Below are 22,713 nucleotides of genomic sequence, written 5' to 3' on the forward strand. Positions count from 1 at the left end.
AGTCAAAGCTGCCCTTTTGCAGGCTGAATCGCTTCTGGGTGGGGCCACAGGAGCAGGGTTGATGATGCAGGTGAGCCATGGGTGTCAGACATGCAAGAACCCTAGAAAGATATCTCAAAAGGCCAATCTACAATAGTGGTATTTGCAGGATTAATTGGGGACCTTGCCTTAGTAGGACTCAGGCTCTTCTCCTTCTCCTCAGCATGATGGCCTGCCATTAATTTTACAAAAGCAGATGAGTTTTGGGTAGGGCCTATTATCATTTAAATGATAGCCTCCATGTCTTCCAAAATGAGCTTGGAATAATCATTAATTATTAACATAATAATAATTATCAGTACAGAATATATTAATTATATTAACCAATATTACATTTTACTATATTAATATATTATAATAATGTATAACTTTTAGTATAATTATTCCTTTGAATAAGTATTAAGTATTCATATAATTAATTATTAATATAATTAACAATTATAACTATATGGTCTCAATTATTTCTGGCCCCAACGCCCAGAAATAATTAAGGGAAAGGCACGATGGGCTGTAAGTTAGCTTAGCTTACTGTGAGAATTTTTCTTACTGATAATTTTTGCAAAGGTGGTTTCAATTATTTAACTGAATATTAAGTTCTAAGTTAAGTTTTTTTTTTTCTCAGCCTTTACAAAAAAGGTCATTCTGCTACATTCTGGTTTCCATTGTTAGTATTGAGAAATTATTCCTCCATTCTAATTAACTTTTGTTTTTAGATGTCTCATTTTATTTCTTTTTTCTTTAAAGATCATCTCTTTGGTGTTCTTCAGAATCATGAAGAACAATTTCTTTTTTAGCTATCTGGCTTTGAATTTGTCAGGCTTCTTAAATCTGAGGAGTCATGTTTTTTGTCATGTCTGGAATATTCTCATTTTTATTTTGACTGTAGCTTTTCTTCCATTTTTTTCCCCCTTTTATCCTGAAACAGAAGTTAGACTTATGTTGGACCTCCTCAGTCTGTGCTTCATGTACCTTATTTTGTATTTTTTATCTCATTGTTTCTCTGTGTCAGCCTGGGTAGTTTGATTTGTTATTAACCTCACTAGTTCTTTCCCAAGGTATCTGAATTAAACCTGCAATACAATATGTCATGGAGATTTTAATTTCACTGATTATATATGACTATTTTTACAAATTATATCTGATTAACTTATATATATTATTCTTTTTGGTGTTCCTACCTTTTTGGTAAGCAAATAAAGCTTATTGTATATCATTTAACTGTCATTCAATACTGCATTATCTTTGTGGGTATAACTTTACTCTTTTTTTCTGCTTACTCTTTTTTTTTGTACATTGTTTCTGTAATTTTGGATGATGAGCTCTAACTATGGGATTGCCTCATCCAGACAATACTTGCTTTTACTACTATTAAATTCTGGTAATACTTTTGAGTTCATATCTTTTGGCTGAGTGTTTTAGATCTCATAGTTTCAGTCTTTCATTTGGATATGGCTCTTTTTTTCAAACTGTATATGTGTAATCATCTTCCACATCTTCCAAAGTAAGCTTACTACTCCGATTTCAATTTCTTTAATTTGGGTGGAATTTTTCTTAACGTATTACAATTAGTTATATATTTGAAAAGTTATTTTTTTATATTGTATCCAAAATTTAAAAGTGTTTTGTTAAAAATTTGTTTTGTTAATATCTGTTCTGTTGTTTTATTTTTTCATTCTTTCAATGAAACTATATTAAGTACTAACTATGTACCAGGCATTCTGATAGGTATAGGGAGTTGGGATAAATAAAGAAATAAATTATTACTGAATGACATAATATATGCTGTACTGAAATCTGAATAAGAATTTATGGACACACATGAGATGCTGAATCAAAAAACAATTATTGGCTGGGTATGGTGGCTCATGCCTATAATCCCGGCACTTTGGGAGGCTGAGGCAGGCAGATCACTCAAGGTCAGAAGTTTGAGACCAGCCTGGCCAACATGGTGAAACCCTTGTCTCTAATAAAAATTCAAAAATTAGACAGACATGGTGGCGCATGCCTGTAACCCCTGCTACTTGGGAGGCTGAGGCAGCAGAATCATTTGAATCTGGGGAGCAGAGGTGGTTGCAGTGAGCCAAGATGACGTCACTGCAGTCCAGCCTGGGTGACAGAGACTCTATCTCAAAAACAAAAACAAACAAAAACAAACAAACAAAATTATTAGCCACTTCTAGGAAAATAAATTTTTTTTTAAAATGTGTATGTATATATGTGTATACATACATGTGTATGTATATATGTATATGTATATATGTATACATACACTTGTATGTAGATATAGCGAGAGCATATTTACTTTGGAAAATGTACTTTTATCATTTTCCAAATGATAAAATGGATAGAATCATAAGACAGGCATTCTTTCAAATATGTGATCAAGATATCAGGATGAATTTTGTAAGTGAAGATAAAAGGGAGTATATTTCAGCTGAATAAATGGTAGAAACAATGTCACTGAAATTTAAAAATATAAATATTGCCATGAATTACAAATATTTAATTGTTCTAATTGGCTAGTGAATTGGGTATGTAAAAGAGAGAAGTAAAAAAATAATATTGAAAAAGAATCATGAGAAGAAAAGCTAACACTAGAACTAAGAAATTTGAATTTTATTTTATTAGTGAGAGACAGTAAGTGAAGTGAGTGGGTAGTGGTATTTGACATTATTTGAGAAAGAAATTACATGAGGAATGCTCTTCTAAATTTGGAAATAATTTTTACAAAATGAAAGGTGGGTAGAGATATGATGTGGGCAAAATAGTTCCTCAATCGTATCATTCTAAAAGTATCTTATAACTACAGGATTATTACTGTATGAAGATAATTGATTCAGTCAGGATATTTTAGGAAAACAGAAGCCTTTCTAGGTGTTACATGCTGGAAGAATTAAATACAGGGGAATAGATACTAATAAACCTGCTGGAATAGTTGGAAAAGTGAAGACCATGGAAAAACATGATTAAAGTTCTGAAAATCAGATAATACAATAATCACAAAGAGCCTCTACCAATTATTGCAGCAACCTGTAGAATTGAAGGGGATTATTCATGAAAAGAAATCAGAAAATCTCTTGTGAAACTGCAGGAAGTCATCTGCCACAGGCTCTCTGCCTGTGTGTTATTTTCAGGACAAAATGGCTTTTCATTCTGTCTGCCTTCCAAATATCATTCAAGTGCCATTCACTGGTGAATCTCAAATGGAACCCTGATGGCAAGGGAGCCTGAGAAATGTAAACTCTTGGTTTCCTGCCTCTGAGATACATGAGGGACATGGGAAGGAACAAAAAAGATGTTGAGAGGCCAACAGAAAATTCAGCATACACTTACAAATTTACTACATAGCTCTCAATACTTTGCTCAGTACGCAAAGCAGTAAAAATATATACTGGAAAATGCCTGGAGTGTTTACTGACAATTTTACTTTAGTGCAGAAACAACTAATCAAAAGGTTTAGAAAAATCATTCCTATCTGAAAGCACTTGCTTTAAAAAATCTAAAAAGTACCAATGAAGAAGATTAATAATGGGAAACAAGTTTTTTGATTTGTCTGTTTTTTCTTCAATGTGTGAGCGTTTGTCACAGTTTAAACACCATATTACAGGATATGAAAAGAAAGCATTCTGGAAATGAGGTTCTGTTAGATCACTCTAAGTAATAATTCAATTTTATCAAGGTGGGAACTATTCCACCATGTTAAGTAAAATATGTAGGAAATATAGGATTCCACAAATCTACCAGGGAATATATATTCACTAACACACCAAAATACACACAGCTCTCTCCTTAACTGACATTCAAAAAGATAAGGCATCTAGATATCAATCTAAGTACTTTTCAAAAAGCAAAATTGTTACATATTTGCTTTTCATAGCCAAGCTCATACCGGTCTTTTAAATCCACTTTCTATCCATTTTCTTTTAGTTTGACCTGTAATCAGCAGTCTCCTTTAAGGTTAAAAAACCTAAGAATCATAAATACATGAGGCCTTGAGAGAAAATGTAGTTTATCTGGTTAATTCATGATTTTGACTAACCATGCTTTGTAACAGACACTAAAAGAAATATATATTTCAATTATATTTTTTAAATTGTATACACAACTCTATTTTCATGCTAAATAATGTATGACTTTCATTTTATAATATTATATCCAACTTTAACATTGTAAATAAGACTCATTAAGTAATACTTTCAGTTGATTATTAACTGTACATCTGGAAATGTTAAAATCAGAATTTTGTTTCCTTTTTATCATATTTTAAAAATATCTGCTTAACTTTGTTATATGGCTGGATTATAAAAGCAAATTGATATCTCATATCTAAATCATAAACTTTTTGGTTCATCTCTCTATGTTAGTTGATTTTTATGTAGGGAAAATCAGATGCAAAATAGTTGAAAGGAATAAGAAAAATAAATAATAAATCAGTAATAGTAAGCCTGAGTACCTGAGACCATATTTCTATATCATTGCTTGATCTCTCTCTCTCTCATTTCAATAATTTACATAATTTCAAGTAAGTGCAAAATGATAATATTCATTTCATTATTTGTGTGAGTACATGACCCCAATTTATAACAGCATCCAAATTTACAATCCATAGCACTTTTTTTTAAGAGACGCAAAGCAAACATTTCTCTTCATAGGTCAGTGTAAGTAATCCTTTCATGCAAAGGGAGCTTTGCAGGGCCTCAAAGAAACCCCTTAAAGAGGTTCAGGGATATTACAGTGCAGCTTTCTTCAGAAACTAAATTTGCATTGGAACTGTTTACCTGAAAATAGTTTTTAAAATGTCTTATGCAGCCCCAGAGACTTTTGAACATACTTAGTAATGAGGTAAATACTGGTTAGAATGTTTTAACTAAATAAATACCTGAGAGTTACTCTTTACCTGTTGGCAAGATTCCACAACTCCAGTATCTGAGTGAAAAATAAAGCCGAATTTTCCATCAACCCCAACAATACCTTGGTTTTCTCAGAGACTTCATTAAAATGAATGTTCTTAGAATTTAAACATTGCAGCTCTCACCTCTAAGGTTTGCAGAAATGATTCTTTATTTATGAGAGATCAAAAAAGGTTATACAACACCAGTCATTCTGTCACAAGGGCTTTTGAAGTTTAGTTATATTTTTATGCTCCTGTTTCTGTTCTTAAAAATACAAAGTTTCAGCAGCATGTAAAGAATATTGCAACATATATTTCATAGAATTATTTTTCTTCTAAAAAGGATATTGCCCTCATTATATCTGCTTTCTTTCATGAAGAGAAACAAATTACATATTTTAAGAGCACATTTAAATTTGAGAAATGAGAAAAAAATAGATTCACCTAGATATTTAAAAGTTCCAATGTTCCAGTGTTTTACCTTTCACAGGTGGTTTAGTGATAGGAAGAGGCATTCCTTTTATTGACATATGTGTGTGTGTAAAAGAAAAACTAAAAACTATATTAAATATAATTCTCAGAAGGTGTGGATCTCATATTCATCTTTATCAACACAACTTAGGGAGCATAAGGGAAAGAAATAAATAATTTCATTAAATGCAGGCAGAAATTAACCTGCCTGATAACTCTAGCTGGCTAAAACTCTTCTTTAAGCTGTTGAAATTGTCAAAGGCAGGCCACAGTCCATATTGACTGTAACTACAAGTTAGCCATCTTAGCTGAAGTCCTGGGGAATTCTAGTTTACTTTATAGAAGTATGACACTGTGGTATTTTTTTGGACTTGCTCTTACATAAATGACAGATGTCTTGCCAAGTCATTATCAGTACCTGCAAGAACCTCTAGAGGAATAGGCAAAAGTTAATATATATTGAAAATCAATCCCATTCACTCTTCCGAGTGAATAGAAAAAACAGGCTCATTGCTTGCCTAGGTACAAAGCCTACAAACAGCATTTGAAAGCCAGAGGCAAAAGGTCCAAGACTTCTCCTCTGTACTTTTTCAAAAACTTTACATTTCATCTTCTTGAAAGTCGAAAACAACTCCAAAAAATCAGTTTTTTTTAAAAATTACTGACTTTAATTGTCTCCTTTCATCCAATGAGTCCAAGAAAAGAGAAAGCAATATCATAATCACTTACGTCTTACTTTCATTTGAGCCTAGTGCCAGGAAGTGTTTAATAAGATTTTTCAATAGATGATACAGTAGCAAATTGAAATAAAGACAAAACAAAATGAAATAAAGATTAAGGTATCAAAAACCACTTTTAAAACAAACATAAAATACAGGTCTTAAAAATTTTTAGAAAACGATTCAAATGTTACATCAAAAAAGGGTAGTTATGTCCTTGTAGCTGAATAGAACTATGGCCATATCTTAAAGACACATTTCATTTTTGTATAATTTCTTCTCACATTGGGTATATCAACATGCAACTGTAAAGTAATACATTTTAGGTACATGAGGATTCATGTTTTCCATACTATTTTTGTCTTATCTTATTAGATTCACTTCTACATATCAGCAGTATTGGTAATTATATGTGTTGGCGATTGAGTCTCTAAGAATTCCAAATCTCTAAAAATCTTTCTTTCTATCAGGAAGCCATGTGGGTTACTGATGACTTGGGTCATTAGCCATAAACTCAAGAGCCTACAGTAGTCAGTGAGAGAATTATAATTGATTAGAGTGTATTTTCTGTGCCAGTTATCAATCTATTGCCTCTCAGCTTTAAATCCATATGATGCTTTGCCCTGCTTTGGATTCTGAGGCTGGTCCCTCTTAACATTTTTCCTTTGCCAACTGGCACCTGGGTAAACTTTATCATGGGAAGCAATGGTGGGACACTGCAGGAAGAAGAGTCATCTCTTGCAGGTTCCAGTGTCTGTTTCTTTCCTTCTTGCTTCTGCAATGTGTGGCAGCCAGCAGTAGGCAGGACACATGGTGGCACTCATCCTCCACAAAGTTTTTTATGGTATCCCAGTGGGTGACTTCCCAGTGAGTCTTGCTGGCCGTCCAGCAGGCAGTTTTCTGTGTCCAGTCTTGCAGTCTGCCCTTCTTCCCTATCCGGTATGTCATAGCCAGACCCTCTCCACTGAGGAATCTAGCCCTGGGTTTGAGGGTGATTGTGCTCTCTTCCAAATGTGTTTCTTCCCTAGGTACTCTGCCTTAGCCCTTAGCTGCTTCCTATGGATAGGATCTATGAATCCTTCAAGGATCTCTTTACCCTGTGGCAGTTAATCTCTTGTTACTAGCTAATAATTTTTACGTTAAATTTTCCCTGTACAAATTACTGGTGTGGTTTCTCTCTTCTGACTCGACCCTGAATGATTTATTCCTATCAGTTCTGGCTATTATATGGTGGAATACGTGTTTTTAAATCTTCATATTTTTCAAATAATCTGGAGGTTTTTTTTTGGTAAAAACTTTAAATTTCGTATATGCCATTTGACTTAAAATTTAGAAATCATAATGCAAACAAATATTCTATAAATTTTATGGTTTTCTAATCCTGCTACAGATAAATGGGGAGGCAGACAGGTGAATGTAGAGTCACCGAGCAGGCAAGTTTGTAGCAGAAGTGAAATTCGAACACATCAGCGCAATGAGCCATTGAGGCAGAGAGATTGGAAAGGTGAGGCTAGGGTCAGGCTTTTAAAAGATTGTTTTGGGAGAAAGTTAAGAGAGAAAGAAGATATTTCTCAAGCAAACAAAAAAAATTACAGCCACTTCAAATGTGGTCAGGAAGAAGTTCCACATAATGTATGTACACACACACACACACACACACACACTCAATTAAAACATATAGAAAATTAAAGTTAAGCCATTTGAGGCTAGAATCCCTCATGGAAATGGAAATGATTTCCTATTTCCATTTAACATGAAAAGAATCTTGAGCTTGCCTAGTTTTTAAAAGGGTAAATTGGCACTTTTTTTGCAGCTAAGAATTTTAAAAGATTAGAAGGGTCTAGAAGAGAAAAAAAGTTCAAGCAATTTTAAAAATACATATATTATTTTTGAACTATCTCAAATAAATGTGATGTGATTTTGTCACTTTATTGTGATCTAATTGTATATTCAGGAATGCAAGCCAGTTGCAAGGGTTGGTTCTATTTTTAGGACTCTCTTCTTTCACATTAAAAATGGAGAACAAAAGGGACAGTCAGGTGAATAGTGTCTGCTAATGTAGGTACTGTCCACTCAACCTTAGCATAATGGTTAAAGAAGGCTAAATATTTGAACAGTTTAGCATACAGAAGCATAGGGTCAGTACATCTTTATTTTTCATCTAGGCAGCTGGGCAGAAAATTAGTCAATTGAACTCCATCTGTCTCTATCTTTTCTCATTAGTTTTTGGAGGAAACATAATATTTTTCCAATATATATGCCCTTTCTTTTTTTTCAAAGTATATGAATTATCCTAATGCAAAAGTATGATGAAAAATATTGAATGTCATGTCAGGAGGTTGGTGTATTTTCTCCTAATTCTAGCTAGGTATTGACATCTCCCATATATAATATAAGAATGCTGTTAAGAACAATGCTATTTTTCATCATATAATATGAACAGCACCAACAGTAATTTGTAAAACAATTAAAATGTTGAATAATAAACATGTAACTGTGACTTACTAACTTATATGTATGAGGCATATAACCATGAAAAAGACAAAGTTCCTGCATTCAAAGAGCTCTGTTTTTACCAGTGTGGACGAACACATATCTGACCAGTTTTCTTCCTAGATTATGGTAGGTATTATAAGATAGTAATAAGCAAACTGCTAGGCACCTGGGTAGCAAGGTTGATTAATTCTTCCCAATGTTGATTAACAAGAGATTAACTGTGCTATGATAAATGACTAGGTTATCCCAATGCATACAAGGTAGCAATGGTTACCCACTCAAAGAAAATTGCCTGAGAAAAAATGTAGAATGTTTGTAGGTAGCCAATGATGTAGCAGGGCTAGAACATAAGGTACTTGGGGAAAATAACCAATAGGGCAAAAAGTGAAAGGATTGATGCCCTGCTAAGGAGTTTAGATTTCATTGTCTGTGAAATGGTATTGCCAGAAATGTTTTCCAGCTTCAGAGTGGTTATATATTCATGTTTGTGTTTTAAAAGAATAAGCCTAGCAATGTAAAGAGCGTATTTGGAGACAGAATGCATGAGCTCCCGGGAGCTTAGGGAATGGGCTCATGGAATAACTGAGAGCATTTGATGATGAGGACCGGAATCACGGAAGAAGTGTGGAGGATGAAGCATAAGACAAATTCCAAAGACATTTCAAAGATAAACTTGAGAAGACTTGGTTGACTGGATTTAAAGGGTTAGGAGAGGTCGAAGTCAAAGATGATTGAAGTTTTCTAGCCTGTGTGACTGGGAGGAGACTGGCCCCATTACTGGAGCAAGGGAACACAGAGGAGCAGCAACTTTAGGGCGGGGGTGGAAAGATAATGAGTCTAATTTGAAACATCTTAGGTTTTGAGTGTCTGTGGGCCAGGCATGCTTCGTATTTTCTAAAAATAAAAGGGCTTTTGGGGCAATCATCTAAAATAATTGTAATATTAAAATATAATTTATAAATGTCACCCTGATGTAAAAATATTTAGCAATGCACATCATTAGCTCACACCATGCTATTTCGAGAGGCCTATGCATGCACATTAGGTCTAAGGTGTAAAAGTCTTTCCATTAGAGAATGTGGCCCAGACAATTACATTTGATTTGACCTACCTCCTTGTGCATTTTGGAGACATGGATTAAAGAAATAAAATATTTTTTCTCTTATTTTACTAACAAATATTTTGGATAACTCATATATACAGATAATTGGATTCTTTTAAAGTAAAAATTAGACAATAAAGTATTGAGTAGAGAATCGGGTGGCTTTAACTAATGAAAATAGAATGAACTATATGTTCCTTTTTGTAAAGACTACTTACTCTTTTAAAATGTCTAAAATCAAACAAAAGTGCTCGGTAATTTCTTCCATTAAATTACTATATTAAACCTTCTAATTATGACTGCTAAATATTTGAACTGAATTGTAGAACAGAACAAATAATAGGATTAATACTAAATTCTAAATCTATTTTATATAGTACTATTGAATTTGATTAAATCAATGGTAATTTAGCAATTAGTAGAAGGGCATATAAGATGTTACTATGCAAACAGTCTGTAAGGCATACTAGCAAGCTATTGAAACTTTGGGAAACAGCAGATACTGGTTGTTAGTCTCTTAAAGTCTGTTTCCTCACATTTTCTTGCCTCTAGCCAAGCCCAAAACTCTTTAGAATACTCACCCGATTTTATAAAAATATTAACAACTCATCCATCTAATTGATCAGTACTTTCAACTCTATTGGAACTTTTTGATTCAAATAGAATGCTGGAGGAGCAGCATGCACGAGCAATGGAGTTACATGCACTGTGTTTTTAATATTTATAATTTCTCAGTTTTACTTAGTATTAATGCACTTACACTTCTGCTTTTAGAATTGTCTTATCCCAGGTGATTGTTTTGCTCATAGCTCATCTCAGAGTATACAGCTTACTCTATCACAATTTTCACACATATTTTTGATGACAAACATCAATACATATTTCTTGTGTATAATCACAGTTCATGAAGATTTCACTTATTTTTCTCATTTGATACCTTCAATGGCTCCAAAAGATGATCTGAGAAGTATTATTTGAACACATTTACAGGAGAGGAAATAGTATCAATGATTTGCTTAAGTTCACATCACTAACAAACGATGGAAATCACACTAGAATCCTGAATTTCTTTATTCAAAATACATGTCACAGACTTAGAATGGCCAAAATGCCAGTACTAGAAAAAACATTCCCATTGGAGATTTCTTTGTCTTTGATATTGTAATGTTAAAGAACATTCTCTCTCTCTCTCTCTGTCTGTCTCATTAGCCTTAAGATGAGAATGATTCCTAGTGTGATAGTTAAAAGATGCACACTAAAGTAATATATTTATAATATTCTTTTTCTACAAATAAGCACAACTTACTGTTTAGATTGTCTTGTTTACATTCAATCTTTAATCACCAAAGAGTCTTAAAATTTTTAAAAAGCGTTTTCTATCAGTATAGAAAATGTGGCCAGATATCAGCAATCCCACATAGGAGCAGGCGGAAATAACTACTCCAGATCCATGCTCTAGAACGTATACAAAGGTACCACATTACAAGCAGCACGGCCTTGGAAAATGCAAGGAAACAGAGGCTCCTCAGGACAATCCAATCCATCTCCATTTTGAGTGCAATACGGTCCTAGGAATTTAAGTGGGTAGAATTATCTCTTTACTTCTTTCTGTTCTGTTTTCCTATGTGCTCTCACTTTCATTGAGAAATTAATGAGGGGAAAAAATAACCCAGAGGAAACATTCTGCCTTATCAACGGAGTTCAGTGCAAATAGTCAAAGCATACTGGATATAATAATATTGCAGCTTAATTAAAAGGCTTTTAAAGCAAACCTTAAAATTATCCACATCAAGTAGTGACATTGGCTCTGGTCAGAGCCAGTGCTCTTAGAAAGCTTTTATCCAGAAAGAGATTTGTTTCTGTAAAATGAACAGAGTGGTTGTTATTGCTCTTTCTTTGTTGGCAGACTGAGAATCTCCCCTAGGTAAAAATGTGTAAGACCCTTAGTGTACCACCTCTAGGGCAGTTACTATAGAATCTCAGAGGTCTTTCTTTATCTGTCTTTATATTTTTTGTTTGTTAATAGAACAGTGAAAACATACATGAGGCCATATAGCATTTATTTCTAATCTGTACTCAAATCCTAACTTCTCTCCTTTCTAGTTGTAAATTTTGAGCTACTTGTTTAACTTCCCTCAGTTTCAGTTTATTCATCTCTGAAATGGCAAAAGTATATCTAGGTCACAGGCATGTGGTGAGTATTCCATGAGACTATTAATGTAAAGTACTTATCAGTTTAGAGTACTTTAGGTGTTGTTATTATTATCATTTGTCTTACTAATACCAATTTCATTGTTATTCTGTGATCCTGTGACGTTTTGGAGATCCAGCATACAGCCTTAAAGGCGAGTCTTCACTTAGATTGCAGCTAAGGACCATTGCCATTGGCTGGTCACGACTATATGCTGGCACATGTCCCCAGAATTCTACCTCAAGTCCCAGAGGATGCTAACTATGAAACAAATTCCCAACAGATCAACAAAGAGTTCTTTACTTTTTAAATTCACTGGTACAATGGGCTCCATGAAAAGACAGTGACTTGCACTTTGATTCTTTATTTCTTAAGTCAGCTAAAAAATTCTAGGTTGTGCAAAGACTGAAAAGATACCTATTTATATTTATTTCATTATTATCTCCACCACCCCCAAGCCATCAAGTGAAGGCAGAGGGGAAAGTTGTCTGCAAATCAATATGATATATAAAGGAGTGGTCCTTCAGTCCTTACTGTGTCCTGGACAGCACACTTCCTGCTCTTTGAGGCCAGTCCAGCCAAGGGAGAGGTAGAAAAAATGCTGTGATTGACATGAGACTATACAGTGGGCTGTCTCTGAATCCTGACAAGTTGAATCACTGCTGGAAAAAGGGCACTTATTGAATTTACAGAGCTCTGTAATTAGTTGCAAAGCTAAATTTGCAGCACCAGCAAGCATATCTCAATCCTTACCTGATCCTTATATCGCCAGCTGTAGTTAAGGTTGAGTAAGCTGGCCTTCATGTTGGCACATTACAGAAGGGGAAATATTCTAAGAAACAATATTAGCAGGAAAAAAATGTAGATTTTAAAATAATAAGTAGCTCAACATTTTTCTGATCAAATTTATAAAAATAACTATACACATACATATGCCCCCTTTCCCACCTTTTCTTCCTTCATTGGTTCTTCTTTCTTTCATTTAAAGATAGAGAGAAGACAGTAAAAGTCATTCCATTGGATCCAGTGGGATTTGGTGGGGAACTGAATTCCCATTGGGATTCGGTGGGGAACTGAATTCCCATTGGGATTCAGTGGGGAACTGAATTCTCAGTAGGATTTGGTGGGGAACTGAATTCCCATTCCATGGGATTCGGTGAAGAACTGAATTCAGGCTCTGGGTTGAGGATTGGCTGAGCACAGCACAGGCTGCCTTTCAGCCCCACCGCCCTCATTGGCAAGCAATTGCTGATCAAGGCTTAACTTACACAATTGTACATGACAATAGGAAAGAATTATTGGGGATGAGAACTGCAGTTATTAGAGAAGAGCAGAATTAACGTGACTAATACAATTGGGAAATTATTAAAGGCTGACTAGATGCTTCTCCATGTGGTTCTACTGGATAATCTTTCTGTCAGTTTAGCGAAGAACAAGAGCACAATGGGCAATTATCAAGTTTCATAGCAGATCTCAGGTGGGATTGGGTGGGATTAAGTTTAAAAAGATGTTATGCAATATGAGGAAGCTATGCAACAGGGACCAGTAAACAGTGTATGGTTGTCAAGAGCCACCATAGTAATGGGAGTGCAGATCTCCTCCAAATTCTTTATATTATACACATTGGTATAAACATGTCAGTCTTTTCTAAAATGCATGTTGTTGGCAGCTAAGAGAAATGAGAAAACAGGTGATTCATCAAAAGACTTGCCTAACTATAACATAATTCAATTAAAGAAGTAGAGGCTATCATAGTTAAAAAATGTAAATTGTAATTCCTGATCTCCTTGGCAATATACTTTAAATAATCCAGAATATATGTTCCCTTGTGATATTTCAGTTCTGTATACCAGAAGTTTATGATGCAATATAATAGTCTCATAATTAAAAGGCCCATTTTGCTTTTAAAACTTATAAAGCAAATTAGAACTGATCATGTGTTAATAAATGAACTCATTTATGCATATTGTGCTTTGTTCACTGTTGTTTGCCCAGAGCCTGGGACAGTTCCTGACATATATAATGGGCATGTTATAAATATTTTTCAATGAATCAATGAAATTTAATAAATCAATTTTATGTACTTAGCCCATTTGATCCTGCAGAACATGTATTAGAAACCCTGCTTGATATATATGGAAACATAGGCTAGAAAGTTTAGAAAGAAAAGTTCATTTATTGTTGCACAAAATTTCATTGAGTGAAAATTGGATCTCAAACATGAAGACTACTGGATTCCAGTCTATGGCTTTCTAACATATACTTACTCTCTCATTTGTAACAGTAGGCTATTACCTTCTAACTTCCTAATTCTCTCTAACTAAAAGTTGCTTCCTGTGTCATAGATTTTCAGATGTTATTAGTAATGGCCCAAGGTATCTTTATCACAGATTAAATAACAGAAAACAAGTATTTGAGTAGCAGGTTAAACATGAAAATATTTAAGTATAGGTTGTTAGCACCCAGAGTTTGGATCTTTTGGACCATATTATATTACCTTCTGAATAATAGGAGGCCTGTGTTTTGGTGATAATAAGTAAAAAGGAAATTTAGTTTTTTAGAACATATCCAGACATGGCTTTGTTAACTGTGGTGGAATGGGTTGATTATTTCAACGCTTCACATCTTCAAGGACTCACACTGTTTTTATTGCTCTCCACCCTGCCGTCCTAGGAGGACTCTTCTCACCCTGCTACAGGCAGAGCATTGTTGCAGCATAACCGTGTACTACATTAATGTCACAAAAGTGACCACCGATAGACTGTTCTTTACTCTGTGTCTCTTTCCAAGAACAAAGAAACTTTTCCCTAAAGACCCTAAGCAAACTTCTTTTAATAGCTTTTTGCCATAATTATGTCATATAAATCAATCAATGGCAAGGAGAATGGAATTATCATGATTGACCATCATAATCAGTATTTACTCCCAAGGAACACTAAATGAGACAATATAGGCAGCTTCCTTAGCACCGTCCCTTAGCACAAGATGTCGGCATTCAGTAAATGTGAAGGATTTTCTCCATTAGTCAAGAAATAGGCATATTCTGTGGAATTATGAAGGCAACCACCAAAAGAAATAACACTGGGCCAGATAAAATACAGTTTCTCCTGTAAACTGTGTCTGTATTAAAAGAGAAAGGGAAGATCATATTTTCTTTTTAATATGTTTTTAATTATATGGTTGAAATTGCTTTGCTATGTGTACTTATTAATTTTTATCATGCTTACCCCTTTATATTAGTGCATTACAGTATTCAGGTAAATATCAGAACCCATTTATTAAACTTGGATTATTGTATTGCTGAGCCCTCTATGTTTGCCATAGTCAAAGATCCTGCCATCATTTATGTAATCACATTTATCAAGCACCTATGATGGACCAAGCATAAGGAGAGACTCATAACTTCTCAAGGGGCCTCTCATTATACTGTAGTGCCCAGAAAGCGTAGTTCTCTAATAAACATCTACTAATATTAATGGAGAAAAATGGGAATTTTTAGTTTTATTACAGCGTTACAACCCTACTTTTTAAAAGATTGATGTTTATGAAACAATCTGCTAGAATAAATAATACGGAGGACTCAACTTTTCCTATACATTTGTCAGTTTGGTCTTCTTTTTTATGGCAAGATAAATTATGTGATTTGCTAAGACAATGAAAGAATTAATTTCCACAATTATCTTCTCAATAATAGAAATACTCTTAAAAATTTATTAAACATATCTTTTATCTTTATATATGTATAAACGGTCTCAACTTCTTCTATTTTAGCGTAGCACAGTGTTAAACAGCACCAGCTTTGAAATCAGATAGACCTATTTTCACATTCTTATCCTCTTGGTTTTTCCGTTTAGTCTGTGCGTGACTTTGAATATGGGCAAAATTCTCTAAGCCTCACTCTCCTCATCTATAAGAGGATTCTAATAATCCCTTTCTAAATTGGGTTGCTGTAAGGATGAAATGGGATAATGCAGTAAATAATTTAGTACTGAACTTGACCCATAGTGAGCATCCACTAAATATTTAATGTTATTATATTTGTAGTGAGTAAATGATATCTACTCCTAGTGTCCTAGTGAGTAAATGATATCCAAGGCCGGCGTGGTGACTCACGCCTATAATCCTAGCACTTTGGGAGGCTGAGGCAGGTGGACTGCCTTCGCTCAGGAGCTCGAGACCAGCCTGGCCAACATGGTGAAACCCCATCTCTACTAAAATACAAAAAATTAGCAGGGCATGGTGGTGCACACCTGTAGTCCCAGATACTCGAGAAGCTGAGACATGAGAATTGCTTGAACTCGGGAAGTGGAGGTTGCAGTGAGCAGAGATCGCGCCACTGCACTCCAGCCTGGGCAACAGAGAGAGACTCTGTCTCTAAAAAAGAAAACAATAACAGCAACAACAACCCCCCCCCCACCCACACACACACACACACAAACCAAATGATATTTAAATTGGCTGTTTTCAGCTGTGTTTTAGGATGTATACACTCACAGGAACAAAGTTTCAATGGAAGCTAATTTTTTGAGGTAGTCCTTAAACACCAAGTGCATTAAAAATCTACTAAAAGGCCATATTGGTACCATATGCCCTAGTTCTTGATTTGCTGCCTCATTTGGGGGAAAGGCTGCCCCATTTGGGGGAAAGAAGGAGAAAGATGAAGAATAGGAATAGGAGAAATATGGTGAAAGGATAAATGTTTTCTGTTATTAATACTTCCTGGACACGTTGTTAATTTTGGAGACTAGTTTGAAATAGGTGAAACTTTCTTTTTGATTTGATATATTCCCTTTCCATGAAGCCTCACAGGGTAAGTCTTCAGGTTGGCAGCATTGAGATTCTCTAAAAGAATAAAGATTTTCAGAGTGATTCCATAACAATAGTGGAAACATTAGGGAGTAATAAAATAGTGAAACAAAAATAGTGTTTGTTTGTTATTTGCTTGTACTTATTTCTAACTTGAGAATTGCTTTTATTTGGTATATTTTAAAACTGGAGACTAAATTTACAAAGTGTGCATAATGTGTATTTGTATGTGTTCTTTTGAAAGTATGTCAAGGCTCTTGTAAGAATGGAAGACTCAAGTCATTTCTACCAATATAGGTTATAATAAAGCTATTTAGAATTTGCTTAAATGGAGAATGTGTACTCACTCAGTTAGGTATTCCGCTATCCTTATAAAAATTTCATGTAGGAGTTTTTCCTCAATTAATCTGCCAGCACACAAGGCAAAAAAGCATATAACTTACAAATTGAATGAAGAGAAGAATCTCATGCAAAATGAGAATAGAAATAGCAAAGCTGCATCGTACCCTTTACATATGGGCTAAATGCTTTCCTGAAATGTCTGGAAAGCGAATTTCTGCATTATTGAACCTATTACCTCTCATTGTATTTACTGGACTGAATATCCATTTTGCCAGGGGTGGAAAAAGAGCCATAAAGAAAACTAAATTCCTTGGGTCCACCCCGATCTACTTTTGAATTCCCCTTCCTCTTCTTTCCCAAATGGAGACCCTGGGGGTAATGCTCTTCGAGGAGACTGCAGACTGTTCCCAGGAAAACTTCTGTAAATCTCCAGACTAATTAGGATGGAGATTATTTCTTGTCCTGATCCTATCTTTTTCTTCCTCACCCTCAACCAGGTCCCTGTCTGTTGTCTTTCCAGAGATGAAGACAGGGTCCCTAAAGGGTACCCTCCTTTACTTCAAATATTGCCAGTGGTGAGGAGCTAATAATACTCATTTAGCTGGAATTTATCTAGAATTTTCTTATTTAGGGATAAGAATGGGAGCAAGGCATATTCCCCTAGTGGGTATCTAAGCATATTTCCTCTGTTCCCTCTGAAGTCCATTCGTTTGGCCCTAGGAAACATTCCACAAATACAGGGTTGGGAGAATGCATGCTTGAAACCATATTCTTGATTTATAAATCCCATAACACAAAATGCTGCACACAGGTCATGAAGCAAAAATCCTACATGGTCACATAAAATACTCTGGCTTTATTTATTTAAAGAATTAACCTTTCTCTCATAGGCAGCTGGAATTTCTATCAGTTCTCCCTAACTAAGGTATTTTATATGTAATTGCCACATTGCCCCACTCAAATAAGAGACACTATCAATTCACTCTGTTGCCTCCAGTTGTTTCTGTCACAAAAATAGGGCCCTTGGCTGCTTTTGCTTCCTTTTAACAAGTATTTGTTAATTTTGATAATTTGCAGAGTTTAAAGAACAGCAGTTCTGTTTGTGTAAATCACAAGATTTAATTAGAGAAGAGGAATCCAAATGGTGCAAATAAAAGTCTGTGCATAATAAAATATTAATTGCCTTTAAAAATACAATAGTGTTCCAGTATTCTATTACACTCTAGCGGAAAGTGCTGCAAGCAACGGAGTGCAGTACCACAGCTCGGCTGTAATCATGGCAGCCATGGAAAACTGTTTGCAACCCTGTAAGGTTGGAGGAGCAACTGCCTTTGTTGCATCGCTGATTAGGATATCTTAGGTGTTTTTTCCCTTGGGGTGTGGGACATCCATCATATTCTCATCGTACTTCTCATCCTTGCACTCTTCTGTACCTTTTCCTAGAAATTTCTAAAATGTGGAATACTTTAAAGAATTTAAGGTCTTAGGGTTTCTGGTAGAGGGAAAAAGCAAGTTAAAAGAAAGGAATTTGTTTTGGCTCTACCATTGAGATATTGCATCAGTAATAAGTCCTGTGACCTTCGGTCCACAGCTTCACATAATGAGATCTCTGCCTCTTCACCTGTGGAATATATAAGGGCAAAGTGCTCAAATCAAAAGGGGTCCCTTTGATTTCTAATCAGTCTAGTATTCTAGTTAGTATTCATTTTCACATTAATCTTTTTTTAGGAGAAGTTACATCTAGAATAAAAATTGTGATATATTATTAGGTAATACATTGTGCTTTCCAAATATAGAGTTTATGATAAATACATGTAAGATCAGAAGTAATACCTTGTCATTTTGCATTGTGTTCAAAGATATGCTTCACAACTTTGGGAGGTGGGTGGACGCTTGAAGTCAGGAGTTCGAGACAAGACTGGCCAACATGGCGAAAACCATCTCTGCCAAAAATACAAAAATTAGCCAGGTGTGGTGGCAAGTGTCTATAATCCCAGCTACTTGGGAGGCTGAGGCAGGAGAATTGCTTGAATGCAGGAGGCAGAAGTTGCAGTGAGCTGAGATTGCCCCACTATACTCCAGCCTGGGTGACAGAGTGAGAGTCTGTCTCAAAAAACAAAACAAAACAAAAAACCAAAAAGATATGCTTGACGTACATTATGTATTTGATTGTATTCAATAGAAATTATCAAGTAATTCTGTATTAGAGGAATTTATAAAGTTTAATGCCAAACAATTACTGTTACTATTGTTATTAGAATTATTGGATTAAATTTTCATAAAAAATAAGCATAAATAAACTTAAGTTAAAAATTAAAATACATATTAGATCCCTATGTTATAAGTTTATTTTAACTTATAATAATTTAATTTTAGAATAACTCATTCACTCATGTATTCATTCATTTATTCAAAAGACAGATATTAAGTGGCACACTCTTTAAAATTACTATGCTATTAATGAATCCGGGCAAGGAGCAAAAGAGGCGTTGGCACCAAAATCACAGATCTTTCCATCCAGGGCAGACAGGTATTTCAAGATGTAATTTTACTAACATTCAATTAGTATGATAATAAGGAGGCTACAGTGTGCTTTAAGAGTACACATTAAAGGTTTAATATCCTTTAACATCCTAGTTTAAAAATAACTAGTAGCCATTGATTAGTAGCAAACACTAAGTATCCCTTTCTAATAAAAAATTTTAGCTTTTACTACATATTTTCTATATTTTTATTGAAAATATCTAGGAATTTCTACCAAATTTGATTTCTAGAATATACATTGTAGAAATTTTATATAAGTAAGTATCAGTGACAGGATAGTCATTCATGGTGAAGAAAAAATATTTTAACTCTGCTTCCTACTATTGTTAGCAGAAATCCTATGGCAAATATATATTTATACTAACAATTTGTTTTCTCAACTATATTTGTTCTTTTATAGCTGTCAAAGAAAATAATACTTGGTGTGAACTAAGCAAATATATCTACCTCCTGTCTCTCTGGAGAATCACTGGAATTAAAGTCTAGAATTAGAAAACAAAATAGTCAAAACAATAAATAGAATATGAGAGGTGTCACTGTTACAAAAATATTTTAATACATTTCTAGAAGACCATAATTGGATGGGGAAAAGCCTTAGCCTAAAGTACAATATTGATTGCTGTAGGAAAAGTTGGGGTTATTCCATCTGAAAGAGCTCTGGAAAATTCCTGTGACTCAGAGGCAGCAGATATGAAAGAGGACAAACCTGTGCGGTAGAGCTATGGTCCACTGGACTGGTCTCTCACTCCTGCCTACACAGTGAAGATGACATTTACCCAACTAGACCATCTGGGGAAGGGTTATGCTTACAGGCTGACCCATAATGACTAGCAATGAATGTTTTCTCACATTGGCATGGTGGTGAGGTCCAGGTTGACCCTGCTCTACCTGTTCTCCTTAAAATGAAGCCAACTAACACACCCACAGACCCCACCGCACCCTTCCACTCAGAGTGTCCAGGCAGAATTCCACGCTCAGGGAAGAAACCGACCAGAAGTAAAAGCAGAGAAATCATACCAGCTATGTGTCCTGTGGAAACCACAGATTACTAACATACGAGGACAGCAAGCTGTGTGGAAGAGAGACACCATATAAACAAAGAAAAAAAATGCCCCAAAGGAAACGTAATTCACAGCACCAGGCAGCTTTTAGAATTTTTTTTACTTATCTTCTGAGATGTTTAAGAAGTTATCAGGTTCATAAAACATGAAAAGTACACAATCAAAGGATCAATCAAAAAACATGAAAAGCTCTTAAGACATCAAAATATGGAATCTGAAATTAAAATAAACCAACAAAACTAGAAGATAATAATAGCAAAAATTTGTATATACTTACAATATGCCAGATCATGTTTTATGCCCTTTATGTGTGTTATCTTATTTAATTTTCACAACAATGCTGATATAGACACACTATTATCCTTTTTTATAAATAAGCCTAAAGCACACAATTGTTAAATTGTTAAAGGGGCACTTATTACCCAGTAAATAAGTGGCAGTAATGAGATACAAGCCTTAGTATTCTGCCTCCAAAAACCTAGCAGTTAGGAATTAAACTATATTTCCTCCCAAAATACATGAATGATAAAGAAAAAATAAGTTTAATAAGGTTCCAAAGGGAGAAAGACAAAAAATTATCTACAAAGTAATAAAAATCAGAGAGGCATCAGACATTTTGTCAACCATACTTTATGCCAGATAGCAATAAGGCTCTTAAATTCTGACATCAAATGATTTTCAATTCAGATTTAATATCAAACCAAGCAGGCCTTTTATAGGATTCAAGGACTGAAACACTTGACCTCTTTAATATCTCTTAGGAAGTATCTGGAGTATGTGTGCCATCAAAATGAAGAAGTACAACAAAAAAGAAGGATGCACAAGATAAAAAATAAATCTGGCCAACCACAGGAAAAAGAGAAAGACAGAGAAAGAGGAAGAAAGAGAGGAAGGGAGGAAAGAAGGAAAGGTGGACATTACTGTATGCTGTTGTAGACTTTATAAACACTGTACACTTAGGATGTACTAAATTTATATTTTTTCTTTCTTCAGTAATAAATTAAACTTAGCTTACTGTAACATTTTTTACTTTATAAACTTTATTAACTTTTTTGACTCTTTCATAATATCACAGCTTAAAGCACACACATTGTACAGCTATACAAAATATTTTCTTTCTTTATATCCTTATTTTATAAGCTTTTTTTCTGCTTTAAACTTTTTTGTTAAAAACTGAAACACAAACGTAATCATTAGCCTAGGCCTACACAGGGTCAAGATCATTGATATCACTGTCTTCCATCTCCACATCTTGTCCCACTGGATGGTGTTCAGGAGCAATAAAGCACATCGAGCTGTCATTTCCTATGATAAGAAGGCCTTCTTCTGGAATACTTCCTGAAGGACCTGCCTGAGGCTGTTTTACAGTTGTTTTTCTTGTGAAGTAGAAGAAGTACACTCAGATACAATGACAAAAATGTATTGCATAGTAAGTATATAAATCAGTCACATAATAATTTATTATCATTATTAAGTATTACGTACTGTACATAATTGTATATGCTATACCTTTAACAGCTGTCAATGCAATGGGTTTGTTTACACCAGCATCACCACAAATGTGCGTGTAAGGCGTTGCGCTGCAACATTACAGTGACTAGGATGTCACTAGTTAATCGAACTTTTCAGCTCCATCATAATCTATAGGACCACCATTGTGTATGTAGTTTGTCATTGACTCAAATGTTACATGGTGAATGACTGTACCTGCGGTGCAGTTCTGATGGGAGTGGGAAGCACAAGGCTTTGGATAGTGATCTCCAGAAAAAAATGACAAATGGAGACAGCAGAAAGCGGAAGCTGCTCTGGCAAAAGTGAAAACATGCTGAAGGTATAAAAATTACGAAGTAGAGGCCGGGCGCGGTGGCTCATGCCTGTAATCCCGGCACTTTGGGAGGCCGAGGCAGGTGGATCACGAGGTCAGGAGATCGAGACCATGCTGGCTAACACGGTGAAACCCCGTCTCTACTAAAAATACAAAAAATTAGCTGGGCGTGGTGGCGGGCGCCTGTAGTCCCAGCTACTCAGGAGGCTGAGGCAGGAGAATGGCA

The 22,713-nt window shown here is 34.9% G+C and overlaps 2 long non-coding RNA genes across 2 annotated transcripts in view; both read left to right on the forward strand.

Annotated features, from left to right (window-relative positions):
* LOC105378810 (uncharacterized) overlaps window positions 1–22,713 on the forward strand; it is a 136,420-nt gene that overhangs the window by 57,132 nt on the left and 56,575 nt on the right. The window lies entirely within an intron of this gene.
* On the forward strand, window positions 51–21,655 carry LINC02792 (long intergenic non-protein coding RNA 2792). The gene is made up of 3 exons (XR_947527.2): window positions 51–70; window positions 19,475–19,587; window positions 20,002–21,655. It is a non-coding gene; the product is annotated as a long intergenic non-protein coding RNA 2792 (long non-coding RNA).

Source organism: Homo sapiens, chromosome 1, assembly GCF_000001405.40.
Source record: "Homo sapiens chromosome 1, GRCh38.p14 Primary Assembly".
Classification (NCBI taxonomy): Eukaryota; Metazoa; Chordata; class Mammalia; order Primates; family Hominidae; genus Homo; species Homo sapiens.